Here is a 26,947-nt window from a genome sequence, read left to right as displayed (position 1 = left end):
CTGCATGGGAACAATGACCTCAAGCTTTTGCCACTGATCCTAGAAGGAAATTACTCTTTCCCTCAGTAAGAGAGCGCCTGCACTTCTGAACTGAGAAATATTTCCGATGTTTCCCAGGAGCACGAGCTGGGGCAGGGACCACCGCACGGCCTGACCCTTGGAGCTGACTGCCCGCCTGCCTGCTGGCAGGACTGAGGTGAGCTGACTGAATGCCCCACCCCACCATGTGCTTCAATCCCTAGGCTCTGCAGCAGCCGCCCCCACCTGTGAAATGTTAAGAGCTCATGGCCACGATGACCTCTACTTTAAATGGGGACCTTGTGCCTCCTCCCAAGCTATCACTGTGCTCCCAAAACACAGCGGAACCGGTGGAAGCCGCCATGGCCCTGCCGTGGCCCACCCCGCAGCCCCCTTTCCCAAGGTGTGAGGTGGAGAGGGTACGTACTACTTGCACCTGTCCGTCTTCTCCGATCTGGTGGATCTGCACCTGCTGTGCGTTGGCCAGCGCGTAGTGCAGGGCCTGCGGCTGCGGCTGTGGCTGCGGGAGCTCGCTGGCAGGAGGTGGGGTGCTCATCATCGGCTCTGTGGGGGCAACAGGTGTGAACGGGGTGAACGAGAAGTTTCTTAGGCATTGCCTGGTGTGGCATGTGTGCACCCCCGTCCCCCACTGTCGACTCCCACAGCAGAGAAGAGGAAATGCTTCATTTTTCCTCGACTCACTGCATCTCCACTCTTCTGCAGAGATCACTACCAGTGAGTCTTAGGAACTGAGGCTTCCGACATGGAATGCAAAAGGGCCTGAGAGTGGCGTGATGCTGCTATGACAAAACCCCTTCTAGTCCCCAACTTATTTAAATGAATGAAGTTCTTAAAGTGGACATTAAAAGCTGTTTCAGGCTGGCAATATTTGTCCATGGGTAATTAAACTAATAGAGCAAAAGTCTCATCCGCACACTTAAAGATACATTTCCAACAAATTTTACTTGCTGTGTTTAATCAAAATGAGATACATTTGCTTTGATGTACTGTGTATTAATTTTCACTGTAATGATGTCTCAATCATAATTTTCTTAAACTCTCAGAATATTAAGAGCGCAGAAAAACTTTTTAATTTTCAATGTATACACGTAGTTTTGTTGCAGAGAATTATAATGACTAATTTTAAAAAGCTTTTAAGCATAAAAATGTAGTCCGGACACGGTGGCTCACACCTGTAATCCCAGCACTCTGTGAGGCCAAGGCAGGTAGATCACCTGAGGTCACGAGTTCAAGACCAGCCTGGCCAACATGGTGAAACCCCATCTCTACTAAAAATACAAAAATTAGACAGGCGTGGTGGTGGGGGTCTGTAATCCCAGGCACTCAGGAGGCTGAGGCAGGAGAATCACTTGAACCTGGGAGGCGGAGGTTGTAATGAGTCGAAATGGCACCACTACACTCCAGCCTGGGCAACAGAGCGAGACTCCATCTCGGGGGTACAGGGGAGGGAAGCAGTAAGATGAAATTCTGTGAGAGAAGTAGAATGTTGATATGAATGAAAGGAGAAAAATGAAAGACATAAAATTATTGATTATTAAAGAGAAGCGGGCCAGGCGCGGTGGCTCACGCCTGTAATCCCAGCACTTTGGGAGGCCAAGGCGGGCAAGATCACTTCAGGTCAGGAGTTCGAGACCAGCCTGACCAACATGGTGAACCCCGTCTCTACTAAAAATACAAAAATTAGCCAGGTGTGGTGGCACGCGTCTGTAGTCCCAACTACTTGGGAGGCTGAAGTAGGAGAACCACTTGAACCTGGGAGTAGGTGGTTACAGTGAGCTGAGATGGCACCATGGCACTCAGCTCCAGGCAACAGAGCGAGCGGGGGAAGGGACGGGGAGGGGCAAGAGAGGGGAGGGCAAGAGCGGGGGAGGGGAGAGAAAAGCTTTCCATGTATTTTTTACCAATAGCTAATGGTAGGTATTAAATTGCCATAGTACCTAGATTCCACTGAATACATTTTTTAAAGTAACAATAAAATGTTGGGTTTCTTTTTTTTTTTTTTTGAGAGAGAGTCTTGCTCTGTCACCCAGGCTGGAGTGTAGTGGTATGACCTTGGCTCACTGCAACTTCCGCCTCCCAAGTTCAAGCGATTCTCCTGCCTCAGCCTTCCAAGTAGCTGGGATTACAGGCACCCACCATCATGCTGGGCTAATTTTTTTTTGTATTTTTTTGTAGAGAAGGGATTTCACCAGGTTGGCCAGGCTGGTTTTGAACTCCTGACCTCAAATGATCCGCCTGCCTCAGCCTCCCAAAATGCTGGGATTATAGGTGTAAGCCACTGTGCCCAGTCACATTAACAGAATGTTGATACTTGCAATATGCTAGAAATTGCCTAGCTACACTAAATCAGAATCTGAAATTCATGAGATTCAAAGGAGATTCAACAAGCCCACCTGCATGCTGCATGTGGAGAGCTCGGCTCCAGCCAAAGACCCTGACTCCACCTGAGCACCTCCAGTGATGGGTCATGTCCCAAAGCAACCACCGCCAGGCAGTGCTGCGTGCTCCACGGCGGCTTCCTGTCTGCCTGAGCAGTTACGGAGCACTCACCACCACAGGTCCTCGAGCAAGCCTTGTGCACCCCAGGAAGAAAATGACAAAATCCCAGCTGGGCTGAAGCCCACCTCCGCGGAGCTGCTGTTCCTCCACTGACCCTCTTAGCACCTACAAAACCAGCCTAATTCTTTACTTATGCGCTACTTCTCCAGGCATCTAAGCATTATCAAACCTTGTGAAATCTCCATTTCTAACCGTTTCCCCAAAGACAACGGTTTCCAGCCCACTGCCACCATGACAGTCTGTCCCTGGACAGCTTCTCCCAGCAGCTCCAAAACACTCCACTGGGGCCACAGGGCAGACAAGCAAAGAATGGGTGTGCTCCAGAGTGCACCTTGCAACCACAAGGGCTCCGAGGAAGCTCCTGCCTACCAGCGCAGCCAGCAAAACACTCGGCTTCACACGCTGTTGCACCACCGTCTACTCCTGTGCAAATGCTCTGAGTCTACATTTCCAGCTGTGACATTTCAGCTCATTAAATGTACTCTTTCAAGATTCTGGTATCCTAATGACGCAGGCCAACATATCTGGCAGTCGTCAGGTTATATAACAGCAGCTTCTTGCTCACTAAGGTCCTGGCAAGTCATTTAACTTGGGTTTTCATTCCCCATTGGATGAAGCAGACCGCTAACCTTACCAAATGCACGTACCCGAAACACATGGAAGGCAAGCCTGGCAACAACTCTCCTCACTCTTCGAGTCTAGGAGTTCCATACGGTTCTTTTTTATGTCTTCTATTTCTCTCCTTGCTATGTTCCTTTTTTCCTTTAAATTCTTGAATGTAATTTTAATAGATTTCAATGTCCTGGTCAGTTAATTCCAGACAGGGTCCCTTCCTATTTGCTGATTTTCTGATCATAGGTCACAATCTCCTGCTTCCTGCTACTCTGGACTAGATACTGGAGATTGTGAATTTTACTTTGTTGGGTGTCTAGGTTTTGTTGTCTTTCTTTTAAAAGTGTTGTTACTTGTGGTTCAATGTGATCTTTCTCAGGCTGTCTTAAGCTCTGCCTTTATTCTAGGGATAGTTTAGCCTGCCAGTAGGCATGGCCTGCTAGTGCAGCGACTGATCACTGAGGACTCCGGCCAGTGGGAATCCAACCACCACCCAGCCTGGGGTGAGCTTAGGAGCCATTGAGCTCATGCCTGCCTTGGAGTCCCCCAAACACCCAAGAAGGCCCCCGTGTAACCCTCTGCTCTTAGGAACTTGATTCCACAACTTTCTGCTGCCTCAGCCTCTCTCAACTCCAACCCATCTCCTCCATGCAGTGATGCAGGTGTCTCTGCCCGGTATCTCCCTGTCCCCTCCTCTCATGTTCCTTCTCTCAGGATCACGGTCCTGTGCTGTTGCTTGTCTAACGTCTTAGGACAGCCGATTCACAGACACAAATTTTGTCCAGATTTCAATGGCAAGAGAATTCAATCTGGTTCCTGCTAGTGTGCCTGACAGAAACCTCCTCTCCTTGACTTTTTTTTTTTTTTTTTGAGACGGAGTCTTGCTCTGTAGCCCAGGCTGGAGTGCAGTGGTGTGATCTCGGCTCACTGCAAGCTCCGCCTCCCAGGTTCACGCCATTCTCCTGCCTCAGCCTCCCGAGTAGCTGGGACTACAGGCGCCAGCCACCACGCCCGGCTAATTTTTTTGACACTTTTAGTAGAGACGGGGTTTCACCGTGTTAGCCAGGATGGTCTCGATCTCCTGACCTCATGATCTGCCCGCCTTGGCCTCCCAAAGTGCTGGGATTACATGCGTGAGCCACAGCACCCGGCTTTTTTTTTTTTTTTTTTTTTTGAGATACAGTCTCGCTCTGTCACCCAGGCTACAGTGTGGTGGCATAGTCTCAGCTCACTGCAACCTCTGCCTCCTGGATTCAAGCAATTCTCCTGCCTCAACCTCCCAAGTAGCTGGGATTAGAGGCATGCGCCACCACACCTGGCTAATTTTTGTATTTTTAGTAGAGACGGGGTTTCACCATGTTGTCCAGGCTGGTCTCAAACTGCTGACCTCAGGTGATCAGTTTGCCTCAGCCTCCCAAAGTGCTGGGATTACAGGCATGAGCCACCACGCCTGGGCTCCCTGACTTTTAAACATTTTTTACAACTATAAAACTAATGCAGTGCTTATTGGAAATAACTGAGAAACTACAATGAAAGACAAAGGGAAAAATAAAAATTATCCTACTACCTAGAGACAGGCACTGTAAAAATGATCACACATAAATTTTTAATCAACTTCCACATATACCTATATATTTGCAATAAAAATGGTATCATGCCATAAGTATAGTCCTCACATCGCTCTCTGCTGCCTAGCTATGAATATTCAAGAGCAGAATTCAAGTCATGCGCAATATTCCTACAGCCGCATTTCAATAGCCACAGGTTACGCTGCTACATGGTATTTCAGTGAATGCCCTTAACCCACACCCCAGGACTGCTACCTCTCTCAAGTCCCAAGGCAGAATTCCTCATTGTAGTAGAAAGGCCTAGAATAGAAGAGCTTCTTCAACACAGGTCACTCAATAAAGCGCTGCTTTAGGGACACAACTTGTGTGGCCCACTACAGGCAGCCACCTCCCATCCTCAAGCCCCTGGGCAGCAGCTGAGGCCGAGTATCTGATAACTACCAAAACAGCCCGAGAAAACCACTTCCTGAAGTCCGGTTCAGAAAGAACCAGGCCCCGGGAGAACTCCAGGTGATCTGGTCTGCAACTCCCAGGACTTCCAGAACAAAGGGTTCCCGCCAACAAAGACTCCACTGAATAGGAGAGCTGGCCCTGCCCACGGCTGCCCTCGCATCCTGACCCCAGCCCCAGTCACAGCTCAAGTTCCAAGAGTCGCTGCCAATGCAGCTACTGTGGGGAGCTTTAAGAGAATAGTTTTCATTCAAATACTTACTAAAATATTTTGAGATGTCTTGGGTGAAAGGCAGTATCAAGTCACATTGTCATTCCTAGTGAAAATTCTCCAAGGAGAACAATCCCCCCAGCGATGCCTGAGAGGCAACTCAAAGAGAACTGTTTCCATTATCTTGTGGATAAATCCAACTAAGGCCATGAACTCAAAGCAAAAATAAAGCATAATTCAGAATCCACCCCACTTCTTCACCCGGAGTCACCCGGCAAATCGTGAGAATACAACGGCCGGCAGCCCCACGCAAAGGCCTCGGCCTCCTTGCCCCCATCCAGAAGACTTCCGGGAGGCCCAACAGGCCCTCTGTCCCTCACGGAGGAGCCTGGAGCAGGCCCGAGGCTGTCCGTGTGAAGGGCGCACGGGGCCAGGCACAGGTCCTGCGGCTCCACTGCTCCGTGCGCACCGCGCAAGCCTCTGGCCTCGGCTCCCGGCCACTGGTGGAGCCGCTGGCCACGCACTGGCTGCCCCTGAGGGTGCCACCAGGCCAGCTGCCCCGAGCGGGGGAGGGCGGCCTCTCCTGCAGCACGAGGCCTACCTGAAGGGCAGTAGGAGGACGAGTTGGGCGTTCTCCGCGAGAAGCTCTTGACCGCCAGGCTCTGGCCCCGCTGCTTGCGCCGCCACGCCGTGCGGCACTTGGAGTCGATGCTCTGCTTGATTCGGTACCAGTCGGATTCTGTGATGCCAAATTTATAGAAAAGGTGACCTGGAAGGACACATCCAAGGAGAAGCGGTGAGGCCTGTTCGGGACAGCCACCAGGAGCTGCCTGGCTGCAGGGCCGGGGCCCGCTGAAGAGGCCTCACCCAGGCACCCCAGCCCGCCAGGCCGGCCCCGTCTTCCTGCAAGGGTCTGGAAAGGCCCACTGCACAGAAGGTGCTTAGCTGGCCCACAGGCGGGGCTCCCCACGAGATATAAATGCTCACTAAGGTGTCATGACACACTCTTTCCATTTACTTAACTTCTCGATCCCTCTGACTCGGTCGGCCCACACCAGGTGCACACTTGGGGCTCTCACAAGATTCCCAGACCTTCCACGCCCCAACTTCCCTCTGCCCTGAGCTCACAGCAGCACCCAAGGTCCTGAATGCCCAGAGGGTGAGATCAGGGACCTCAACAATTGGATCAGAACTCGCTGGTCCTCTGCCTACTCGGGCCTGCTCGGCCACCGCCTTCCCTTCCTTCATGTCCTGGCTTCACCATCCCCCTGGATAACCACCTGGCCCTCCCGCCCTCCTGGGCTCCCACCCTCCTCCCACTTGTTTTGTCAGAGCACTGACCACCTTCCGGCATTTGGAGAATTCATGTGTGTATTGTTACTCTGTCCCCCTCACAAACACAGTTTCGAAAATTCAGGTGTGTATTGTTACTGTTCCCCTCGCAAACACAGTTTGGAGAATTCATGTATGTATTGTTACTCTGTTCCCCTGGTAAACACGGTTTGGAGAATTGAAGTATGTATTTTTGTTACTCTGTCCCCCTCATAAACACAGTTTGGAGAATTCAAGTTATGTATTGTTACTCTGTCCCCCTCACAAACACAGTTTGGAGAATTCATGTATGTATTGTTACTCTGTTCCCCTGGTAAACACAGTTTGGAGAATTCACGCATGTATTGTTATTCTGTTCCCCTCGCAAACACAGTTTGGAGAATTCATGTATGCACTGTTACTCTGTCCCCCTCATAAACACAGGGGCCTTTGTTGTGTCCACCCATGGGGGTCAGGCACCCAGAACATTCTGGCGCACAGTGGCTGCTCCTGTGTAAATAGTGATGACAACGGACTGCAAGACACCCTCCCATCGCTGCTCAGGTCCGGGGCTTGCTTATGTCATTCCCGACGCCTCTCTATCGTGCCTTCTCAACTAGAGTACAAACTCCTTACGGGCAGGGCCTGTGTCCTCATCCCTGGAGTCCCTATACCACAAGCCGAGTGGGCACAACCTACTCTCACTGTGGGGCCAAAGCCAGGTGCATCGTCTTCCTGGGGCTCACCGTGCACACGCAGAGAACTGTCCTGGGACCCCCAGTTCTCTACCACCTGCGCTACGGAGAGCTCTCAGCACGCCCTGAGCAGCATCCAGAGATGCCCTGTATTCAACAGGGAGAAAACTGAGGATCCGAAGGCCACGGCGGAGCAGGTGACAGGAGGGAGCCAGCGCCCCACTGCACGCCCGGCCACTTCCCACTAGGCCACAGGACCCCATCCCTGTAGCGATGACGAATGTGGGCATGATGGGAAGGGCTCTTCAATGCAGTGGCCTCTCTAGCTGGCTCATGCAACTTCACTAATTTACAGGAAAATACATGGATGGAATCCAAAATTGTAGTAATAAAAAGATTAAGCTGAAAAGTGTCCCGTTTCAACTACCAAGAGCCTCAAGTTCGGACTCTACTGCCCAAACCCTAAAAATCTGTTCCCATTGAGACTAAAATGGTGGAAATAATTAAAACAGAGGAAGAAGTGTTTGGGTTTTTTTAAGTACTCGATTAGGTATCAAAAGTCCCTCGGGTTTTGGAAACATGCCTCTTGACTTTCTTATCAGTAGATACTTGAGACACGTTTAGAATCTCTGTATAATCACAACCAACCTGTCTGTGCTGCAGACAAAAAGAAACCAGTCAGGACGGTGGGATTTGTAGGATGAGAGGGAAGAACACCCTAAAGTGGTTTCGGCAGCACATTTTCATCCTCATGCATAAAGAAGCCATACAGGAAGCAGCCGCCCTTTGGCTTCCAATTTTCGGGTCATCTCTAAAATACTCCAAGTCACCCTCGAATCTTGGCTGGGTGACTCGGGCGCCTCAGGAAGCCCCAGGCTGAGCAACTTTAGTGACTCACAGAGGAACCCAGCCGCTGGCTGTGGTCATGGGGGAACCCAACCATTAAAATCACTAGGAAATCCTTACAGGAGAGCCCAGCTGCTGCCAGAGGTTGCACCATAGTTACCGGAAAACCCAGCTTTCAAACTGCACTTCAATAGTTTCATGAGAGCCCAGCTACTGATTTTAGATACAAAGCAGCCCAGCTGCTGCCACCGGGAGGGCAAGAAAGAAACAGCCATCCCACCAGCAGGAAAACATCTTTGGAGCACGAGTCGATAAAAAGAAACATCCTCAGAACCGCCCTCCTGTGACCCTCCCACCTTCACACTCCAGGAGAAAAATTCCATAGACTTTGAAGGATGAATGAGTCCATACAAAATTTAAAAACGGGTTAGTAACAGGAAAGAAGATAAATCTAAAACACCCAGGTGTATAGGTAAGAGAAATGGGTGAAAACATTCACATTTAAATTCAACTTTGTAAAAATCAAGTTGCCAGTTCAAACCCTGACTCACACTTATTAAATAAAAAATATATATTCATCTGGTTACCCGCCACCGAGTTTCCATTGTCCTCAGACATCAAATTATCTAATTCCTTCCGTCTGCGCTCCAGGCCCCAGCCTGGGCGAATGCCCCCTGCCGGCCACAAAGGAGATCCAGAGAACGGACCAGCCGCCCAAGTGCTGCCCGCAGAGTGCAGTGGGTGAGGAGGGCGAGGATCTGAACATGCACTTACGGGTGCAGGCGCCGCCCGCAGATGCTACTGGACAGCAGCTGGGGCAAGCGCCCACGTCTGGGCAGCCCTCAGGGCTCGGATTCCTTTACCTTTTCTGACAGCACTGAGCAGCCGCACTTAACAGGGAGCGGGAAAAATCCTATCATGATGGGATCAAAAGATCACCTTGAATTTAACTGCCATTTTCCACTTTAAGCATTTGATCTCATGTTATTTGACAGACATTTTTTTTTAAAAGCCTCATGAAGTAGGAATGTCACTACTCTCATCACTTTGGTTTTGAGGCAAAAGCCAGAAAAAGGAGAAGTGATGTGTCCAAGTCCAATTACTAGTTAGGAGTGAGCACCGGCCTTAAAGTGCAAGCTTCCTGGGCCCACCAGGTGAAGAAGCAGCGGCCCTCACTGGATCCTGAGAACCCATGAGAGGTGCTCGGGGAGACGGGAAGAACACGCACAGCCCCGCACACGTGACTCTGCTGTCCTGAGCTCCCTCAGCCCAAGGCACCTGCAGCCCCTGCTCTGGGAGGCCTAGTCGGACTTCAATCGAGGCAGAAGTCTCCCCTGCAGCAGCGCCCAGGACACAAGGAGAACAGAAGTGCTCGGCATCCGGCTGCTGAGGCTCACGGGATCCCCACAGCGTGGCGTCACCTGGGAGCAGAACACCCTGTCTGGCCTCAGTCCCTGCTTTCCCCAGCCATATCCCCACACTACACCAACCGAGGCCCCTCAAGGCCGGGACGGGATTGCCTTCCAGGCTCAGCCAGGCAGCATCCCTGCCACAGTGCACGCCTCTATTTTCCTGGCGAGCTGTTCTGCAGTCCCCAAAGAGCTAAAGAGTCTCCACTACACCGTTAGCTGCCTTCCCACTTTCCAGAACCCCCGTTACTGACTCTGGTGGTTCAAATCATAAGCCGATTCCCAGCTCTCCATCTGTGGGGCCATGAGAGGCACTGTGGGAAGCGAGATGAGAGAGCCAGGAGGGCTTGTCATCTTGTGCCTTGGTGGGTGGCATGGGGCTTTATCAGTCACAAAGGAATGAAGAGCCCCACCTGCTAACACACTCTCATGTGCAAGGGAAGGCACCACAAAACCGAGTGCCAACAACTGATTTCTTCAAATTACAGACTCGACGTGACAGCGCTGCCTAGAAAAACAAAAGGCCTCTGCCCGATGGAAGCCAGCTGACATGCTCCCTCCCGGGGGAAGCATACACAGCTCACGCCCCATGCACCTCAAACGTCCAGCCTCCAGGCCAAGCCGGCCACCTTCTTCAAGCCTGCTGACTCACTCCTTTATGAGAAAAAATGATGGAGAGACACCTGTCCTCAGTCTGTTAGCCAGAGAGCCCCTCACAGCCACCTGCAGGACCACCTCCAGGTCACAGCTTCTGGGTGACCTGCTGAGAAGGAGGCTCTGCTCACTTTTCTGCCTGAAGCCCACACTGACCACACCTTCCTCCCAGCTCTCAGTCACCGTGAGGCGCTCAATGTCCCAAGATACACAGACAAACACCCACCCCTGCATGGAGTCCACATTCTGCCTTAAGGACACATATAGGGCAGCCTCACCATTTCACCTCACAGAGAACCTGGAGAAGAGACAGCACCTGACCACCCGTGTCCTGTGTCCTGGGCTGAACAGTGTCCCCACAAAACTCACGTCCTGGTCCAGGACCCCAGAATGTGACCTGACTGGGAACTAGGGTCTCTGCAGATGTGATTCATTAGGTTGTAATGAGGTCATCCTGCAGGAGAGGGAGCTCCAAATCCAGTGACTGTCCTCATAAGGAGAGGGACACAGAGGGAGACATGGGGGGAAGACAGCCGAGGGGGATGCGGCCAGAGACTGGAGGGATGCGGCCACCACCAGAAGCTGGGAGAGGGAAAGGGCCTTCTCAGGCAGCGTGGCCCTGCCCACACCTTCATCCCAGGCATCTGGCCTCCAAACCTGCACGAGAACACAAGCCTGTGTTCTAAGCCAGCCAGGCTGTGAGCTTTGTCCCCGCGGCCACAGGAACCTGAGGCACCCTGCAAGACACAACGGGGCCAGGTCGCACACCTGCACTCACAGGGACAGGTGTGGGTGAAGTGGCCCCCGCTGCTTCCCACTAGGTACCACCACCTGGGGCTTGGAGTGAATGATTTGAAAAGAACTACAATCATCTGACAGGTCAACCCTGAAAGCATAACTTTTTACCTTGTGCAAATGAATCCAGTCTTTCCGTAACTGCTAGGAGGTCTCATGGGGATCGGCCATCCACAGCAGCATTCTTTAGATCAGACGAGATCGGGTGTGTTCAGGGTGGCACGGCCTTAGACAGCATTCTTTAGAAAAGCCCTCAGATCCGGGGTCACCGGCTTGGATGCAGAGTCCAAGCAGAGGCGTGAGCGAGCCGTGGATAGAAATCCTAAGAACTAAACCAATTTCTCTTCATAGAGAAAACAGGCGAATGCTGCTGTCCTGAGAGCACATTCCTTAGGAAAATGCTCCAAGGTTTTCCAAGTTGCAATAATATGCTACTTTTGCATAAAACACACAAATTTGGTTAGCTGCCCAAATTCGGGGGGTCCACCAATCCTTGGGAACCCTAAGAAAGCCAACACCCCAAAAAGCAAATTTCTCTCTCTCCCTCTTTCAATAACCTCATTTCCTCATTTTGAGAAGGTGGTACTTAGAGACTTTACCTACTGTGTGTTTCAAAATGTAGACTTTTTTCTCCAGAAAAAGAAAGAAAATCTTTCTGCTGACAAATAAGGAGAAACTTAAATCAAAATCTTCTCCCTCGTGAGCTGCCTGGGTTGAGTGAGGACAGCCGCAGGCCTCTGACTGCTGAGGCTACAGGCGTCACTGCGGGCTCTGAAGCAACAGCAGAGAGTAAGGTGGGGCAATGCGGCCAATTCCACTCCTGCCGCTGTTCAAGCTGGGGCCTGGGAGGTTTGCTCCATGCATTTATTTCATTTGTTTTGGTTTTTTGGGCAACAATCAGCAATAAGAATGAAACTGGGCCACAGGAAGAAAAGGTAAAGCCATGCTTTTTACGTTTCAGCAATTCCGTCTAAGCACGAGCCACGCAGGCACGCCTAGCCTGAGGCGGGGGAGAAGGCACAGCCCTGGTCCATACGCAGCAGTTGCTCCAGGCCCCTCCACACGGCCCTGTGGACAGGCCAGCCTTCCTCATGCAAAGTCACCCTGAAGGTCAGCCACACCATGACCTTCCCAAAGCTCGGCTCTAGAGACCAGAATTCACTGGGCATCTCCAAGGGGCCGGGCACTGTGAGCAAGCCCAGGAGCCCCACCCCGGAGGGACTTCCAGCAGAATGACGGTGCTAGCGGACGCCCCTGCCAGGGGACCGTGCTCCAGAGCCCAGCTCAGAGCCTGGGGAGGCCGGGCCAGTGGGCCCCAAGCCATGAGGTTCAGCAGCCTGGTGAACACAGCCAATGACCTCAGCTGTCTGGAGGATGGCCCCGAAGCCAGCGGGCCCAGGGGAGAGGGTGGTGGCCCATGCCAGGCTCCCACTCCCCTCTCCGGCCTCCAGACCCCCATCGAGGTTGGCAGCACTTCCCAAGCAAGGAGAAGCTCAGCAGAGAAGGTCAACTCATAGCCACAACACGCAAGGAATCGCAGCCTGCCCCATTCTGCCCCATACAGTGCCTTCCACCGCCCTACATGGACTCCCTGAATACAGACACAGCCACCCCACCGCCATGGACTCTGCTCTGAGTATCGCCCTGCCATGCCCCTGTCACCTCACTGGAACATTCCCTGTGCTCGATTAATAAAAGAATTGCAGCCAATGCCCTGAAAGCCCGAATCCTTAGCCTGACAATCCAAGGCACCGTCTCCAAGGCAGAGCCAGCCGGCCTCCAGCTTCACATCCAAGGCCCCTGTCTTCTCCCCCGAGGAGCAGGGACTCCTCACCTGGGAACAGGGCCCAGCCCCGAATGCCACTGCCCCACACAGCACAGCACGCTCATCCCACACACCACCATCCTCTCCAAAGAGCACCCACTCCTCTCTGTCCAGGCTGCGCCTCCAACCTGTAGCCCAGCCTGACACTCCTGCGACACCCCACAATGCCACCTCTCAGGTTGCAGACGTTTCTATCTACCTGACCGCACGCTCTGCCATCAGGGCCATTTCTCATTCGTCTATATATCTCAACGCACTCCACACTGTGATCCACACAGCAAGCACCAGCACGAAGCAACCCCCGGGTTTCAAGCTGGAAGCACATCACGTGGTCTGGTGCGCAGATGTGTGCTCCTGGCCACGCCATGCCCTAAAGCAGAGGGTGGAGGGGGTGGTGGGCCTGCTGCCCGCCTCTGAAGGCAGTGTCCTGTTGGAGCACATCCACGACCATGCGCTGACTCCTCGTCTGTGGCTGCTTTCAGAGCTAAGCAGTTGAACAGAGACCCCAGGGCCTGCAAAGCCTGAAATATCTGCCGTGTGGCCCTTCAGAAGAAGGCTGAGGGTGACCCCTGCCCCATGACCCTCTGATCCTCTTGACCTGCTTTACTCCACCGCTGAGAAGCTGTGAGGAGGCCCCACGTGTGGTCTCCCAGGAGTTATCTGATACTACCCTCAGGGTCCAGGATGGGCGCCCGCTGGTGTCTGACAGCTGGGGCACACGCCTGGGACAAGACATGGCACATGGGAAGATGCCATGACCTGCTCACACGCATGTGGGTGGGACCTGGACCCACCTCTCAGCAGCTTCCAGAAAAACCTGCAGTCAGCACGACACCCCAGTCTTACTCAGACCCCATTTTCACAGCAGCTACGGAACAGCGGAGCCCTTCCACTCCCCCACTGCTCCTGACAGAGGCTCACGGGCCACACTGTGCTTCCCAGAGGAGCAAGGCTCTTTCCTGCTGGAACAGCTGGCCCTGCACGCTGAGATCCCGCACGCCCCGCCCCCCGCACGCTGAGATCCCGGACGCCCCGCCCCCCGCACGCTGAGATCCCGGACGCCCCGCCCCCCGCACGCTGAGATCCCGCACGCCCGGACGCCCCCCGCACGCTGAGATCCCGCACGCCGAGATCCCGGACGCCCCGCCCCCCGCACGCTGAGATCCCGGACGCCCCCGGCATGCTGAGATCCTGGACGCTGAATGCTCTGCCTCGCTCGCCCTGTTTCGAGATCAGATTTACATTTCACGCTCCCCTGAGGTGACTCTCCAGAGCCCAGATTGCCGGAGGCCACTGCACCCTCCCACACCCTCCCGCCAGGGGCCTCGTGTCTCTTGCGTTTGCTGCTGCTTCACTTTACATCTTCGTTAGAAGCCAGGAGGACGGCTTCTGAAGCAGACGGGCTCTGTGGAGCAAATGGACCATGGACGCTGGCAAGGAGGACCTGAGCGCCCATCAAACGCCATTGAAGGGCAGTACCGCAATCGCCACCTGGAGCAAATCCCGCTCTTCAGAGGGGACGGAGACGTCACAGGCCGGGCTGGGCACGAAAATCAGGCTTTGGAGCTCTCCTGGCTCCCATCACAGCCAGGTCAGCGCTGAGGCCCTGGCACGGCTGCTGAGGCCCAGCCCTCTCAGAAGGAAGGAGGCAGGTGGCACTCCACCCGCTTAGGAGAGGCTCAGGGGGGCCTGGGTCAGCGTGGCCAGGACAGCAGGGAAGGCCCCGGCTCTCCTCCTCCTCTCTCTTCCTCAAGAGTGGCCTACAGACAGGAGGCGAGGAGTTTTTCACCTTCTAAGGGTACACAGTAGGTATATATATGATGGGGTATATGAGGTATTTTGGTGCGGGCATGCCGTGCGTAATAAGCACATCAGGGTCAACAGCTCATCCATCCCCTCGAGCACTGATCCTCGGGCTGAGATTTCAAACCGCCTGGAGAAACGCAGCCCCGTGCCGGTGCTACTGATGCCAGCGTCCTCAGCATTGAAATGTGGGTCCTGACCCAGCTCCCCGCACACCCCAGTCCCCCAAGGCGGGGCCCGACTTACACCGGATGCCGTAGATGGTGAGCGGGTCCAGCTGCTTCTTCCCGTGCTTGCCCTGCCCCGAGAGGTTGGACACAGCCTGCACCTCGCGGTGGAAGAGGTAGTCCAGCAGCGTGAGCGCCATCTTCTCGGCCGTGCGGCAGTTGGTGCTGATGTGCAGCATGTCGGAGGGGATGATGGCGCAGCGTACCCGCATCTCGGGGTTGTTCTCGTCGCCCAGCCAGGTGCCATTGGGGTAGTCCTCTGAAAAACAGAAGACAGGTCCTCAGATGGCCAAGGCTCAAATAAGCTCACATTCAGGACAGCAGAGCGCTCTGCTCAGGCACAGTCGGGAAAGATGCTCCACGCAGGGCTGGGCAAATCCCTCGTAACTTGTGAGGCAGTCACCAAGAGCGCTGGAGCCTCCGACTGCTGCCCAAGAAAGAACTGACGCGGAACAGACACGATCCCACCACCCCCGAGAAGCGGCCACGTGCCTGTGGGGCTGCAGGGCCTCGGGACCTGAGCGCCAACACGGTCACACACTCTGCTCACCCTGGACCCGGGACCCCAGCAATACCGATATCCTTGCACACAGTTGGTACCTGCCCCAGCCACCTGCAGAGCGGAACCCTCCCCGGGGTCCCTCACACCTCACTGCCAGCCATGCTCTCCCACTGGCCAGCCACTCCCACCAAGAAAGACGCAGAGGTGAGGGGCTCTAGCATCAGCAGCCGGCCTGGCGTCGCCCCCGTGCACACAATGCCAGTCCTTGCCTCTGCACAGTGTAAGTCACAGCATGCCCTTGACGCCAGCATTCTCAGGGCAGTTACAATGCAGCCGCCCAGAGCAGCGCATTCAGGTGTGGGAATGCGCCACGTTCTGCACTGTCAGTGAGGCCACAGCAAGGACCCGTGGACAGGCCCACACTCCACATGGAGGAGACACGGTGCCCAGACACCTGGAGTGGCCTGAGGTTGCCTGCAAAGCACACTCCTGTGACGATGGAGTGGGACTTCCCACCTGCCTGCCCAGGCAGTGACGCCCGCCAGCCCCTCCACACCTCTCCGCCTCCCTCCCTCCCAAGCGTGGGCTCTCAGCTTCCTAGCTGACCCTTCACAAGTCACTAGTCTTCTCTGAACCACGGATTCCTTCTCTGTGTAACGGCATCTCCGGGTTGTCCTCAGGTTGACCAAGTACGGTATGTGAAAGGCTGCCTTTTCAAAGCCTCCCCGTGTGATGGAAGAAAGCTCCACAGATGATCATAAACGGGAAAACTCACATTCCTGCTTGGAAGCTCAGCAGCTGCCCAATCTCTTCTGACCCTGAAGTTGAACCAAAGTGAGGCTGCAAGAGTCTCCCCTCCCCCAGCACGTCCTCCCCTGTGGAAGGGTAGAAACCTGAATACCTCCCACGAGGGGCCGGGACCTATGAGGGACGCCACGCTCTGCCAGAGTCTCTGAGGCCCAGGGCTGGCTACAGTCATGCCACCCTGGGCATCGCTGCCTCAGAACGTCTGTGAGCTTTATTCTGAAATGTCCCAATATTGACTTTCCGGCTCCTACAAGGGCAGCCAGCCCTGCCTGCCGGGCCAGGAAGCCTGGAGCACAGCCGAGAAGCCTGTGGCTGCCGTGTGCTCCTAGCATACACAGCTCCCTCCACAAGCAGCCTCTCCCATTCCCTGAAATATAAGATTTCCATGAAATATCAGGGCAGGGCTGGTCACCCTGTCTTCAAACACACATTGTCACAGGGGCAGGCCAGTGTGGCTGGGCTCTTGGCTGTAGCTAAGGATAGAAGACAGCTCTAATTTTTGAAATTCAGGACACAGATGAGTAAGGAGCATCGATGCTCAGAGGTGGTTTAGAAGTACAGGGATGCTGCCAGGAACGTACGCTCAGACGTGCATTTTTTCAGAACATCCGTCGGTCGGCCACTATTACATTCCACCTGTATATGAGGAGCAAAACGGAAACACGTGACCTCAAGGCTAATGGGTGGAGTCTCATGGCAAGGGCTCTCTAAAGGCCGCAGCTGCAAAGCTTCGAGACTCCAGCTTCCGGGGATTCTACGAATGTATCTACGAATCCTTACGGGACACCCAAGGGCCTGGCGCTGGGTCTAAAGCTCCGCATCTAAGCTCTTGCTCAGAGTCACGGGTCAATGTCATCGAACACAGCGGCGCAGGCCCTGGTCAGCAGCAGTCCAGTAAGGAAGCCATGGGGAGGGGAAGGGGAAACAGAGGGGACGTGTGAGCCAAGGCAGGAGTGGTCCAGTCTCCAAGATCTGAAGCCACATGCTGGTCACACCATGGCTAGAGATGGTCATGGACTCCATGGGACCAAAGATCTAAATGGGAATCTGCAGGGGAAACCCAAGATGTGGGAGGACAGTGGCCGAGGCGGCTCTGGAGCATTGGCACCTGCACCACGCATTTCCCAGCGCCACATGCTTCTCCTGCATGGACGGGAGGCCCCAGACATAGTCCCCGCTTGTGCTGACCTTAAACCATGCCACAGATTTCCTGGTCAGATTAAACCTAAGGGGCTGAATCCTTCCCTGTGTCTGTCCTTCTGAAGGGAGGATTTTTAAAAATGTTCTGCCTTGGGGCCTGGGCAAGGGGCAGAGATTTGCTTGTGGCCCCTGGTGGCTGGCAAGCAGAGGCTGCGGAGGCCCATGCTGGCAAATGGGAACTGTCCCACTGCAAGGTCCCCGGACTCCCAAACCCAGACTGGGCGCAGGCCAGGGTGACACCATCAGATGCCATCCAATGTGAACCGGGGCCGCGGGAAACAGCCTCGATCCCACACAGATGCTGCTCAATGTGGGCTCCCAGCCCAGGCCAGCCAGGCCTCCTGGCAGCACCGGTACAGAGCCCCGGGTAAAGGAGCACGAATGGAGTGAAAGCCGCTGAGGCGCTAGAAGAGCACCTGAGTACCTGAGTCCCTGCGGCAGCTGCCTGGTAGCTCCTGGAGCGCGAGACCTCGGCCCCGCTCCTCCTGACTCCCAAGTGCCAGGGACAGTGGCCTGCAAGCGAACAGGGAGACAGGCAGGGGTAGAGCTGACCTCAGACGAGAACGGGTGACCCCAAGCAGGGAAGCGGGAAGCAGCCACCCAGGGGAAGAACTCCAGAGAACATTCCAGAGCGGGGAGCAGCATCGGCCTGGGCCAGGAGGGGCCACGTGCTCCAGGAAGGTAAGGGAACCAGCGTGGCCAGAGCAGGGAACATAGGGCAGACGAGGGACAGGAGAGGGTGGAGAACCAAGCAGGGCCCAGTCACCTGGGCAGAAAGCAGGCGCCCACGCCCAGCGTGGTCCGAGCTGAACTGGCACAGGCAGAGGGGACTGGCAGAGGGACGGGCAGAGGGCACGAGCTGAGGGGGCACGGGCAGAGGGCACAGGCAGGGAGGTACAGGCAGAGGGCATGGACAGAGGGACAGAGGAGACGAGCTGAAGGGGCACAGGCAGAGGGCACAAGCAGAGGGATGGGCAGAAGGAGCACGGGCAGAGGGCACAGGCAGAGGGGACGGGCAGAGGGCACGAGCTAAGGGAGCACAGGCAGAGGGACAGGCAGAGGGACAGGCAGAGGGACGGGCAGAGGGGACAGGCAGAGGAGACGAGCAGAGGGCATGAGCTGAGGGGGCACGGCCAGAGGGCACAAGCTGAGGGGGCACAGGCAGAGGGACGGGCAGAGAGGGCAAGCAGCTGATTACAGAGCTGCTCAGTAATCCAGGAATAGCTGAGGGCCTGGTGTCAGTAGGGCTCACAGTGAGACCCACTGTCTTTAAACTTCCCAGGGTTCCCAGCACTGAGGCTCATTTAATGGGAACTCTGGGTACATGAGGGTGGTCTCCAGCGACACCAAGCATCTCTGGACTTAGGACCTGGAGATCACAAACAGAGGACCCGAGGCAGGCAGCAGGAAGGGCAGCAGCATCCTGAGCCACCAGCCTCCCCGACCATCACCCACCCACACCGGGATGTGGGTGATGCAGGACCAGTGCGAGGATGGTGTGGGGACGGTGGGCAGGGGCTCTCAGCTGTAGCCACCAAGCTGCTAAAGATCCCTGCAGCCTCTCTCAGGAATTAACAGTGCTCAAACACACTTAGCTGAGCTCTCTGTGGTGAGATAATATTTTTAAAGTAAACACTGGACAAGAATTCAGAGTTGTTTTTCAAACAGTGAGTCAAAATCATGTCAAAGTGTCACTGAGACCCTCCAGGAGGGATGACGTGGGCTCTCCATGCCCACACCGAGAACCTCCCTGACTTAGGATGACAGCCAGCTCCTGGGGGGTGCTGCCACCCACCACCTCCGTCCTCCCCAGGCTCCACCTCAAGGCAGTGTCGGGGCAGCCGCTAAGCTCATCCTCTGGCAGGCTCAGGACTCACTGAGGGCCAGTGTGCAAATGTCCAGACCCAGTGCACCCAAGGCTGGCCGTGCCCTCCACCCCACACGGAGCTGCCCCAGCTCTGGGTGACTCCTCCTGCACTGCAGGTCACAATGAGCCCTCCCTCCACAACCAGTGGCCTCGTCCAGGCCTCAACACTTCTTCCTGGCCTTTTTCAGCACCGCAGGAGACTCTGACTCTAAACTCTGCCCCACCAGAGTTACCCCAAGGCCACCTGGCCTGTCCTCCCAGGAATCTCCCGCCTGGAGTGTCCAGCAGGACCCAGTTTGTGCTGGCCTGTGTTTGCGGCTCACAGCTCCACGCCCTGCGCTTCCTGCTCAGCACAGCCACATTATGAGTGCTGACCCACCCCAGTCTACCGGTTCCCATCCACACTTGTGTCCATGGATTTCCTGTTGACAATACCACTCCCACCTCACTCCTCTAAGTACTAGAGATTTTCAGGCATGTTCTCAGACCAGCAGCATTAGCAGTGGCAGGGAACTTGCTGAAAATGCTCTTTCTTGGGCCCAACCAATCAGAGGCTGTGGGGTAGGCCCTGCTTAGCAAGGAGGTTCTGAGGCAAGGGGGTTCTGACCTGTGCAAGGAGGGCCCCATGTGTAGAGACCATAAAGGATACCACTCCTGGAGCCTCCTGCACCAGGAAAGCACAAAGTCCTGCTGAGCTCTGACGGGTGCAGGCAGCAGTCTAAGGACTAGGCATGGGGCACGCCCACGTCACACCACACTGAGAGAGAGCCCGTCCCATCAGGCAGGCTGAGCTCTAGTGGGTGCGGGCAGCGGTCTAGGAACTAGGCATGGGGCGGGCCCACCTCACACTGCACTGAGGGAGGGCCCGTCCTGTCAGGCAGGCTGAGCTCTGATGGGTGCGGGCAGCGGTCTAGGAACTAGGCATGGGGCAGGCCCACGTCACACTGCACTGAGGGAGGGCCCGTCCTGTCAGGCAGGCTCCTGAATCCACACCTCCACCACTTCAGAGGCCTCATTTCCTCAGTCCTCACAGTAACCCCAGCAGCTAAGCCAGCCCATGATCCATCTCACGGGAGAGGCGCTCAGACGTCTCCAGAAGTGAATGACCCTGATCGAGGTCGCAGGCCAAGTGAGAGGCAGACTGGGAATGGAGGCAAACGCTCTAGGCCATGAGAGTCCCTGCCTATTAACAACCAGTGATTCACACATTTCTAGTGTCTCTTCCTAGAAAGCTGCCGATCCTCAAAGACTCTGAGTTTAAATGATGCCTTTTCTACACTGAAATGGAAGGCACTGTCTCATATCTGCTTCCTGATATAATTTGCTGTATTACTCAACTTTTTATATATTCAGAATTCCCTACTGTCGGGAAAAAGGGAAACAAAACGATGATTTAAAAATCCCAGCCTGGAATTTGTACTGTCAGACCACAGTGAATAGTTATTAATTTATCCTTTTTTCTTAGGCCGTCTATAGAAAGGAATTAACCAATAATTGAAACACAATCTTTTTAAGATCCCTCTCTCTCCTACTTTCATTTGAATGCTGACTTTCCAAGAACAGATGAAAGAATAATTCCGACAAATGTTATCTGTGTGTTGTCCAAGACCGAAGCCCTAACTTCCATGAATGTCCTGGGAAATGTAGCTCCACGGTCACTTTTCAGGCGATGGCTCAGAGTGTTCCTGTCCCTGGGATTCCACACGTTAGTCCCCTGCAGTCACAGAGGTGACGAATGCCAGATTTCCATCTCCAGCAGGATAGTGAACAAATCAGAAGGCCATCCTTTGCGAGTCACTGGGCTGCACGGTTGTTCAGAGCCTTAGAGCATGGTGTTACGTTCCACAACACAACCAACTCCATGTCAATTCAGTTCAAGGTCAGCCTCACCATCTCCAGGTAAGTCTTCAGAGAACAGATTCACATTAGATATGCCATCCACGCCAAAAATTAATTTTCATCTGGCTTTTGCAAAGGCTTACTCAAGCTGTTTATGAATTTCAAAAGCAACTCTGCATAAAATGAAATACATGGTTCCAACAATGGATAACACAGAGCAAACCCACACAGAATTCAAACCTAAAGGCAGCACCGGGCTGTGTCGTTACACACATCACGGCTCAAAATGCTTCCAGCGCCAGGACGTGATGAACCATAACTGTCAATAACTCATCTCTCCTATTCAAGGTAGAGAATAAGAATTCTATGTGGAACGCATGAGACATTTTATCTGTTGGGCTCCTCATAATTATGTGCCCCACAAGAAAATATAATGTGTTGGGGTATGCCAGGATCCTGGGGACTAGGGACACCCCATAAAGGTAAGGCTACATTTGTCCCAAACACGCCAACTCTGGCCATCTACTGGCTAGATGTCTACGATATCACATAACGGATGCTTCAAAAGAACCTCCATTCCCATCAGGTACTAGTGGATGCTTAATGAATATTTGGGATGGGAAAAGGGGAGCAGAAAGATTAAAAGGGGAGGGGAGAGGAAGAGGGGGGGTACCCTGAACAGCAAAAAGTGCACACTCCTGGAGGACAACTTTGAAAACCCGGTGGGCTCCTGATAGGGTGACCTCGCTCTAAAATCAGGGACTTTATGATTATGTGACATCGTATTTGAGAATTTTAGACACCTGTAACACTGACATTCTGCAAGCTACACATTACAGAGACCTCAGTTTACAAACTAAACACTACCATTTTCTTTCAGAATGCTTTTTTGGTGTGGGCTGCTTTTATTTTGTTTGTCTTTTTGAGTGGGCTGTTTTCCATCAACGATTCTATTGTAAAGGTTTTGCCTGTAATGCTTAAGCATTTCTTAAAGTGAAAAATAATTTAACCCTGAGTTAAAAAGGATCCTGCGCCTCCGGGTCACGCAGAGAACCTGAGTCCAACACCAGTCGGCGGCTGAGCTCTGGAGAGCTGAGCGCCTCTAGCACCTGAGAAGTTTGCTCTCCAGGCGTCTGGTCTCACAGGGCAGGGATGGAAAGGGCGTCTTTCAGGGTGGGGGAGGTGGTGGGGAGGAGCCTGGGTGAACTCCTGACTGCTCAGCACCAACACTGCCATGGATCAAGACTGCTCCCGACACCTCCATCCCGGGGCACAGGCTGTGTATCCGGAAACTCAACGCAAGCCGCTGAGACGCCATCACTCCCACTCACTTCCCCAGACAGCCCTTCCGGCCGCTCTGTGGCACTCAGAGCCATGACTGTTCTCACGCTGCTGTCTCCCGCTTCCCTTGGTTTTATTGTGGTCACTCATCTCTCTGCAATCCTACTCTTATTAGCGATCAACTCAGGACTGCCATGAAAAAATGTTTCCTGTTACCTCACACATACAGCACTTATGTTAAAAACACTTACATAAGATGAATTCTGTAAATAAATGCTCTCCTTTCCATGTGCACGAATGGCATTCCGTGCACTGCGAGGTGTGTGAATCGGCACAGCATAGCGTGGCTACACGTTCTCCTTTCCACGTGCACGAATGGCATTCCATGGACTGCGAGGTGTGTGAATCGGCACAGCATAGCGTGGCTACACGTTCTCCTTTCCACGTGCATAGCTGGTGTTCCGTGGACTGCGATGTGTGTGACTCGGCACAGCACAGCGTGGCTACATGTTTTTATTTCCATGTGCACGGCTAACATTGTGTGGACTGTGAGGTCTGTAAATCCGCACAGCAGTGTGGCTACATGTTCTTATTTCCATGTGCATGGCCGACATTCTGTGGACAACGAGGTCTGGGACAACGAGGTCAGCACGGCGTGCCAGTAGCAGCTGCAGGATGGCCACAGCTGACAGCTCTCACAGCTGCCCAACTCTCCCAGCTGTGCCTCACCAGCCTTCACTGGCATCACCAAGAGCTACCACGTAAGTCATTCTACTGCCTGGGAAGTCCATGGGACCAATTCCTGGCAATAATTCAATTAGAATTCAACCACAATCCTTCCCCCACTGAAATGAAGTACCTAACATTTTATGTATAGGATCAGTCACGTTTTGTAAGAATTATCAAATGCATACACAGCAGAAATTTAAACTCTTGATTAAGAACCTAACTAAATCCCTTAATGGACAAACAGATCCCATGCTAGGTCCATTTTAGCTCAACTTGTTTCTCTAACTCAGCTGGCAGCTTAGTCATTGAATGATGAGGCCCCACACACTTTCAAGTACAAAACAAAGCTATGAGCACACCAAGACCAAAACTACTGACAAAAGGCAAGCACAAGAATGAAGACACAGTCTACTGTTCCCTGCTTTCAACAGTCAGGAACTACCGTCCTTATTCCAATGAGACATAGTCTACTGTTCCCTGCTTTCAACAGTCAGGAGCTACAGTCCTTCTTATTCCAATGAGACACAGTCTACTGTTCCATGCTTTCAACAGTCAGGAGCTACAGTCCCTCTTATTCTAATGAGACACAGTCTACTGTTCACTGCTTTCAACAGTCAGGAGCTACTGTCCTTCTTATTCTAATGAGACATAGTCTACTGTTCCCTGCTTTCAATAGCTGAGAGTTAGCGTCCTTCTTATTCTAATGAGACATAATCTACTGTTCCCTGCTTTCAATAGCTGAGCGTTACCGTCCTTCTTATTCTAATGAGACACAGTCTACTGTTCCATGCTTTCAACAGTCAGGAGCTACCGTCCTTCTTATTCCAATGAGACACAGTCTACTGTTCCCTGCTTTCAATAGCTGAGAGTTACCATCCTTCTTATTCCAGTGGAGCGTGTGTAATGACAAACGGAATTACCTAAGTGAAAAAAACTAGAATAAAATGATATGGTATCTTTGCAGTACAATAAACTGACTCCAAATTTGATACAAAACAGCATGTCAATTCACACAAGCCATTTGGAATTCTTAAGAAATAACCGTTTTGAAATCTGTGGTTCTCTAAGACTTAAGGCACTTAAATACTTAAATAAGAAGCTAAGAACAATCTGTCTCCTGCGGCTCCTATTTCTTATCAGGGCCTAAAACAACTAAATAGAAAGACAAGCACACCCCCTTTAGCACTTCCCATATTCCTAATGCTTTCCCTCGTAGAAACTCGCTGATTCACCACCTGCCCAGGTGCTCTGGGACAGAGGGCCACAGGCAGGAAGATGCTGGCCCCATTCTCGGCACATTCGCACCCCCCATGGAAGTGCTGAAGAGAGGACGCCACTACGGGCTGAGATTAAATCTGACATAAGAGACATTAATGGATTGGCTATTTTCCCAACATTTACATACACAGCAATCATTTAAAGGTGACTTCCTCATTTTCACCAAGCCACTATGCCAAATAAGGCAGCTCAAGCAGATATTTTCATAACACCGACCCCACTGGGATATACATTCCCAAGGACAGTCAGTGAAACAGATTTATTACAAAAAATGTTTCCTCCTAATGGGATGAGAAAACAGAATGGCTCTGGATGATGACCTCTCCTTCAAAATAAAGTCAAATTTAAGATGAGAAAAAGTTCTGCAGTTCACCCCAATCCTAACAACCTGTGTTGTACAGCAAAATTATGTTTGATGAGAACAATCAGTGGTAAAGATGGCTATAAAACTCTGCTCAAAGCCTAGCTAAAGAAAAATGTCTTACACAAAACATCAAAAAAACTTAAACTCAGACACAAAGAAAATTTGTATTTTTCCTTATAGATACAGATCAATACTAAGTAAGCTCCAAATTTGATATCGTCTCATAAGTTCATTTAGATTTTTTTGTTTTTATGACCCTGGACTCCCCAGAATTACCAAGTTTTTTTGCCTTAGCTAACACAGTTTCAATCAAACAAACATCAGGCCTGAAGGGGGTGGCCAGATCTATGTGGGGATTTATACAAAATCCACATCCAAAAATAATTACAACAATTAGTCTGTCGTTACTGCAATGTGATTTTCAATTTCTATGAAAATGAAATCAGGAGCATCCCTCCTTTCCTCAAATTTCATGTGTGAAAAACTCCATTGCCCTGATCCTGCAATTAATACATACACAAAAACCTGCACCTCAACGTTCACAGCAGCATTCCTGACAACAGCCAAAAAGTGCAAACCACCCAGATGCCCATCAACTGATGATGGATCAACAGAATGAGGGCCATCCATACCTCGGCACATCACGCAGCCATGAAAAGGAACAAAGCACTGGGCAAAAGCTACAATGTGGGTGATGCCACAGGATTCCATTTAGAGTCAAGGTCCACAACAGGCACATCCACGAGGACGGAGATGAGCTGGGTGCCGGGGCTGGAGGCTGGGAGAATGGAAAGTGACTGTTGATGGGCACAGGGCTTCTTCTGGGGGTAATAAAAAATATTCTAGAATTAGTCCGAAGTGATGACTGTACAACCTTGAGAATATACTAAAAACAACTGAGACGTATGCTTTAAAACAGTCAATTTTATGGTATATAAATTAGATCTCAACTTGGAAAAAAAAAAAAGATCAACTCAACGTCTCTTTCTCTCTTCCCTCCATTCTGCCATCTGAATCCTAGCAATTTGTATTAGAGGTAAAAGCAATTTTTGTGGAAGACATTGTTTTCAATGTTTCAGATACGGTAATGAGTCTTCCTAACAGGAAAGCCTTTGTTCACTAGACAAAGCAACATCGAGTTGCTAGGAAAAATCAACAACTCAGACGCAGATGCAGAAAAACTGAGTTCTTCCTAGTAAGCAAGGAAAACACATGCTTTACAACTCCACGCACAAAGCTAAGTCTGTTTGGTTCTTTCTTTTCTCCACGCTGTAGTCACTGACAGTCATCTGGTCACTTACGGTGACAGGATGAAGGGCACACAGAGGCTCTCAGGGGAAGACGGCTCTGAAAGGCACACTGGGCAGGCCGAGGGCCAGGCGGGAGGGCACCTCAGAGCCCTGCAGGAGAGAGGCCCCCGCTAGGAGTCCAAGTAGGACAAACAGCTTCACATCCTTCCAGATCTCGGGGGAAATGGGCAATGCATCCTGTGCCATGGAACCCGTGGAAGCTGCGTCCTCTAGCCCAGCAACCTGCCTCTGAGAGCCCACGTCCAGACACTGATCCAAGAGACATGAAAACACAGCAGGCCAATGCTAGTTTCAATAACGAAAGGTTAGAGGGGGCCATCCCTGGAAAGCATCCAGACCTGATGAAATAAGCAAAACTGGCTAAAAATGACTCTGTCCATCTGCACTAACGTGGAAAGATTTCTACTGTGTAGGGGAAAGAAGTGAGTTATAAAATCATAAAATGTGCACCAAAAAACCCCAAAAGGTTTAGAGATCTCAGAATGGTGGGATCACAGTTATTTTCCCTTTAATCTTCATGTTTATACTGTATCACTATCTTTTTTTTTTTTTTTTTTTTTTTGAGACAGAGTCTCTGACGCCCAGGCTAGAGTACAGTGGTGCGATCTCAGCTCACTGCAACCTCTGCCACCCAGGTTCAAGCAATTCTCCCGCCTCAGCCTCCCAAGTAGCTGGGATTACAGGCACCTGTCACCGTGCCCAACTAATTTTTGTAGTTTTAGTAGAGATGGGGTTTCACCATTTTGGCCAGGCTGGTCTTGAACTC

General features: G+C 52.4%; 1 protein-coding gene across 32 annotated transcripts in view, besides 7 other annotated features; it reads right to left on the bottom strand.

Annotated features, from left to right (window-relative positions):
• The window catches only part of BANP (BTG3 associated nuclear protein), a 128,081-nt gene that overhangs the window by 43,628 nt on the left and 57,506 nt on the right, over positions 1-26,947 (bottom strand). For all 32 annotated transcript variants that reach the window (NM_001384941.1, NM_001384931.1, NM_001384936.1 and 29 more), the window contains 3 exons: positions 15,024-15,263; positions 6,041-6,208; positions 446-582 (listed from right to left, as the gene is read on the bottom strand). In NM_001384941.1, the coding sequence (NP_001371870.1) occupies positions 446-582; positions 6,041-6,208; positions 15,024-15,263 (545 nt within the window). The remainder of the gene's footprint in view (positions 1-445; positions 583-6,040; positions 6,209-15,023; positions 15,264-26,947) is intronic.
• Positions 2,559-3,060: an enhancer, noted in NCBI's record as "H3K4me1 hESC enhancer chr16:88064237-88064738 (GRCh37/hg19 assembly coordinates)". NCBI's record gives its function as "activates a minimal SCP1, AML or CMV promoter by ChIP-STARR-seq in primed H9 embryonic stem cells {active_cell/tissue: H9 hESC(primed)}" and the evidence as "EXISTENCE:reporter gene assay evidence [ECO:0000049][PMID:30033119]".
• Positions 5,981-6,551: an enhancer, noted in NCBI's record as "H3K27ac-H3K4me1 hESC enhancer chr16:88060746-88061316 (GRCh37/hg19 assembly coordinates)". NCBI's record gives its function as "activates a minimal SCP1, AML or CMV promoter by ChIP-STARR-seq in naive H9 embryonic stem cells {active_cell/tissue: H9 hESC(naive)}" and the evidence as "EXISTENCE:reporter gene assay evidence [ECO:0000049][PMID:30033119]".
• Positions 8,828-9,074: a silencer, noted in NCBI's record as "fragment chr16:88058223-88058469 (GRCh37/hg19 assembly coordinates)". NCBI's record gives its function as "represses an EF-1alpha promoter that drives an FKBP-Casp9 reporter gene in an ReSE screen in HepG2 liver carcinoma cells {active_cell/tissue: HepG2}" and the evidence as "EXISTENCE:reporter gene assay evidence [ECO:0000049][PMID:32094911]".
• Positions 18,980-19,892: an enhancer, noted in NCBI's record as "H3K4me1 hESC enhancer chr16:88047405-88048317 (GRCh37/hg19 assembly coordinates)". NCBI's record gives its function as "activates a minimal SCP1, AML or CMV promoter by ChIP-STARR-seq in primed H9 embryonic stem cells {active_cell/tissue: H9 hESC(primed)}" and the evidence as "EXISTENCE:reporter gene assay evidence [ECO:0000049][PMID:30033119]".
• Positions 19,893-20,806: an enhancer, noted in NCBI's record as "H3K4me1 hESC enhancer chr16:88046491-88047404 (GRCh37/hg19 assembly coordinates)". NCBI's record gives its function as "activates a minimal SCP1, AML or CMV promoter by ChIP-STARR-seq in naive H9 embryonic stem cells {active_cell/tissue: H9 hESC(naive)}" and the evidence as "EXISTENCE:reporter gene assay evidence [ECO:0000049][PMID:30033119]".
• Positions 23,691-24,404: an enhancer, noted in NCBI's record as "OCT4-NANOG-H3K27ac hESC enhancer chr16:88042893-88043606 (GRCh37/hg19 assembly coordinates)". NCBI's record gives its function as "activates a minimal SCP1, AML or CMV promoter by ChIP-STARR-seq in naive H9 embryonic stem cells {active_cell/tissue: H9 hESC(naive)}" and the evidence as "EXISTENCE:reporter gene assay evidence [ECO:0000049][PMID:30033119]".
• Positions 24,405-25,118: an enhancer, noted in NCBI's record as "NANOG-H3K27ac hESC enhancer chr16:88042179-88042892 (GRCh37/hg19 assembly coordinates)". NCBI's record gives its function as "activates a minimal SCP1, AML or CMV promoter by ChIP-STARR-seq in primed H9 embryonic stem cells {active_cell/tissue: H9 hESC(primed)}" and the evidence as "EXISTENCE:reporter gene assay evidence [ECO:0000049][PMID:30033119]".

Source organism: Homo sapiens, chromosome 16 (genome assembly GCF_000001405.40).
Source record: "Homo sapiens chromosome 16, GRCh38.p14 Primary Assembly".
Lineage (NCBI taxonomy): Eukaryota > Metazoa > Chordata > Mammalia > Primates > Hominidae > Homo > Homo sapiens.
This window is presented reverse-complemented; position numbering and strand designations above follow the sequence as displayed.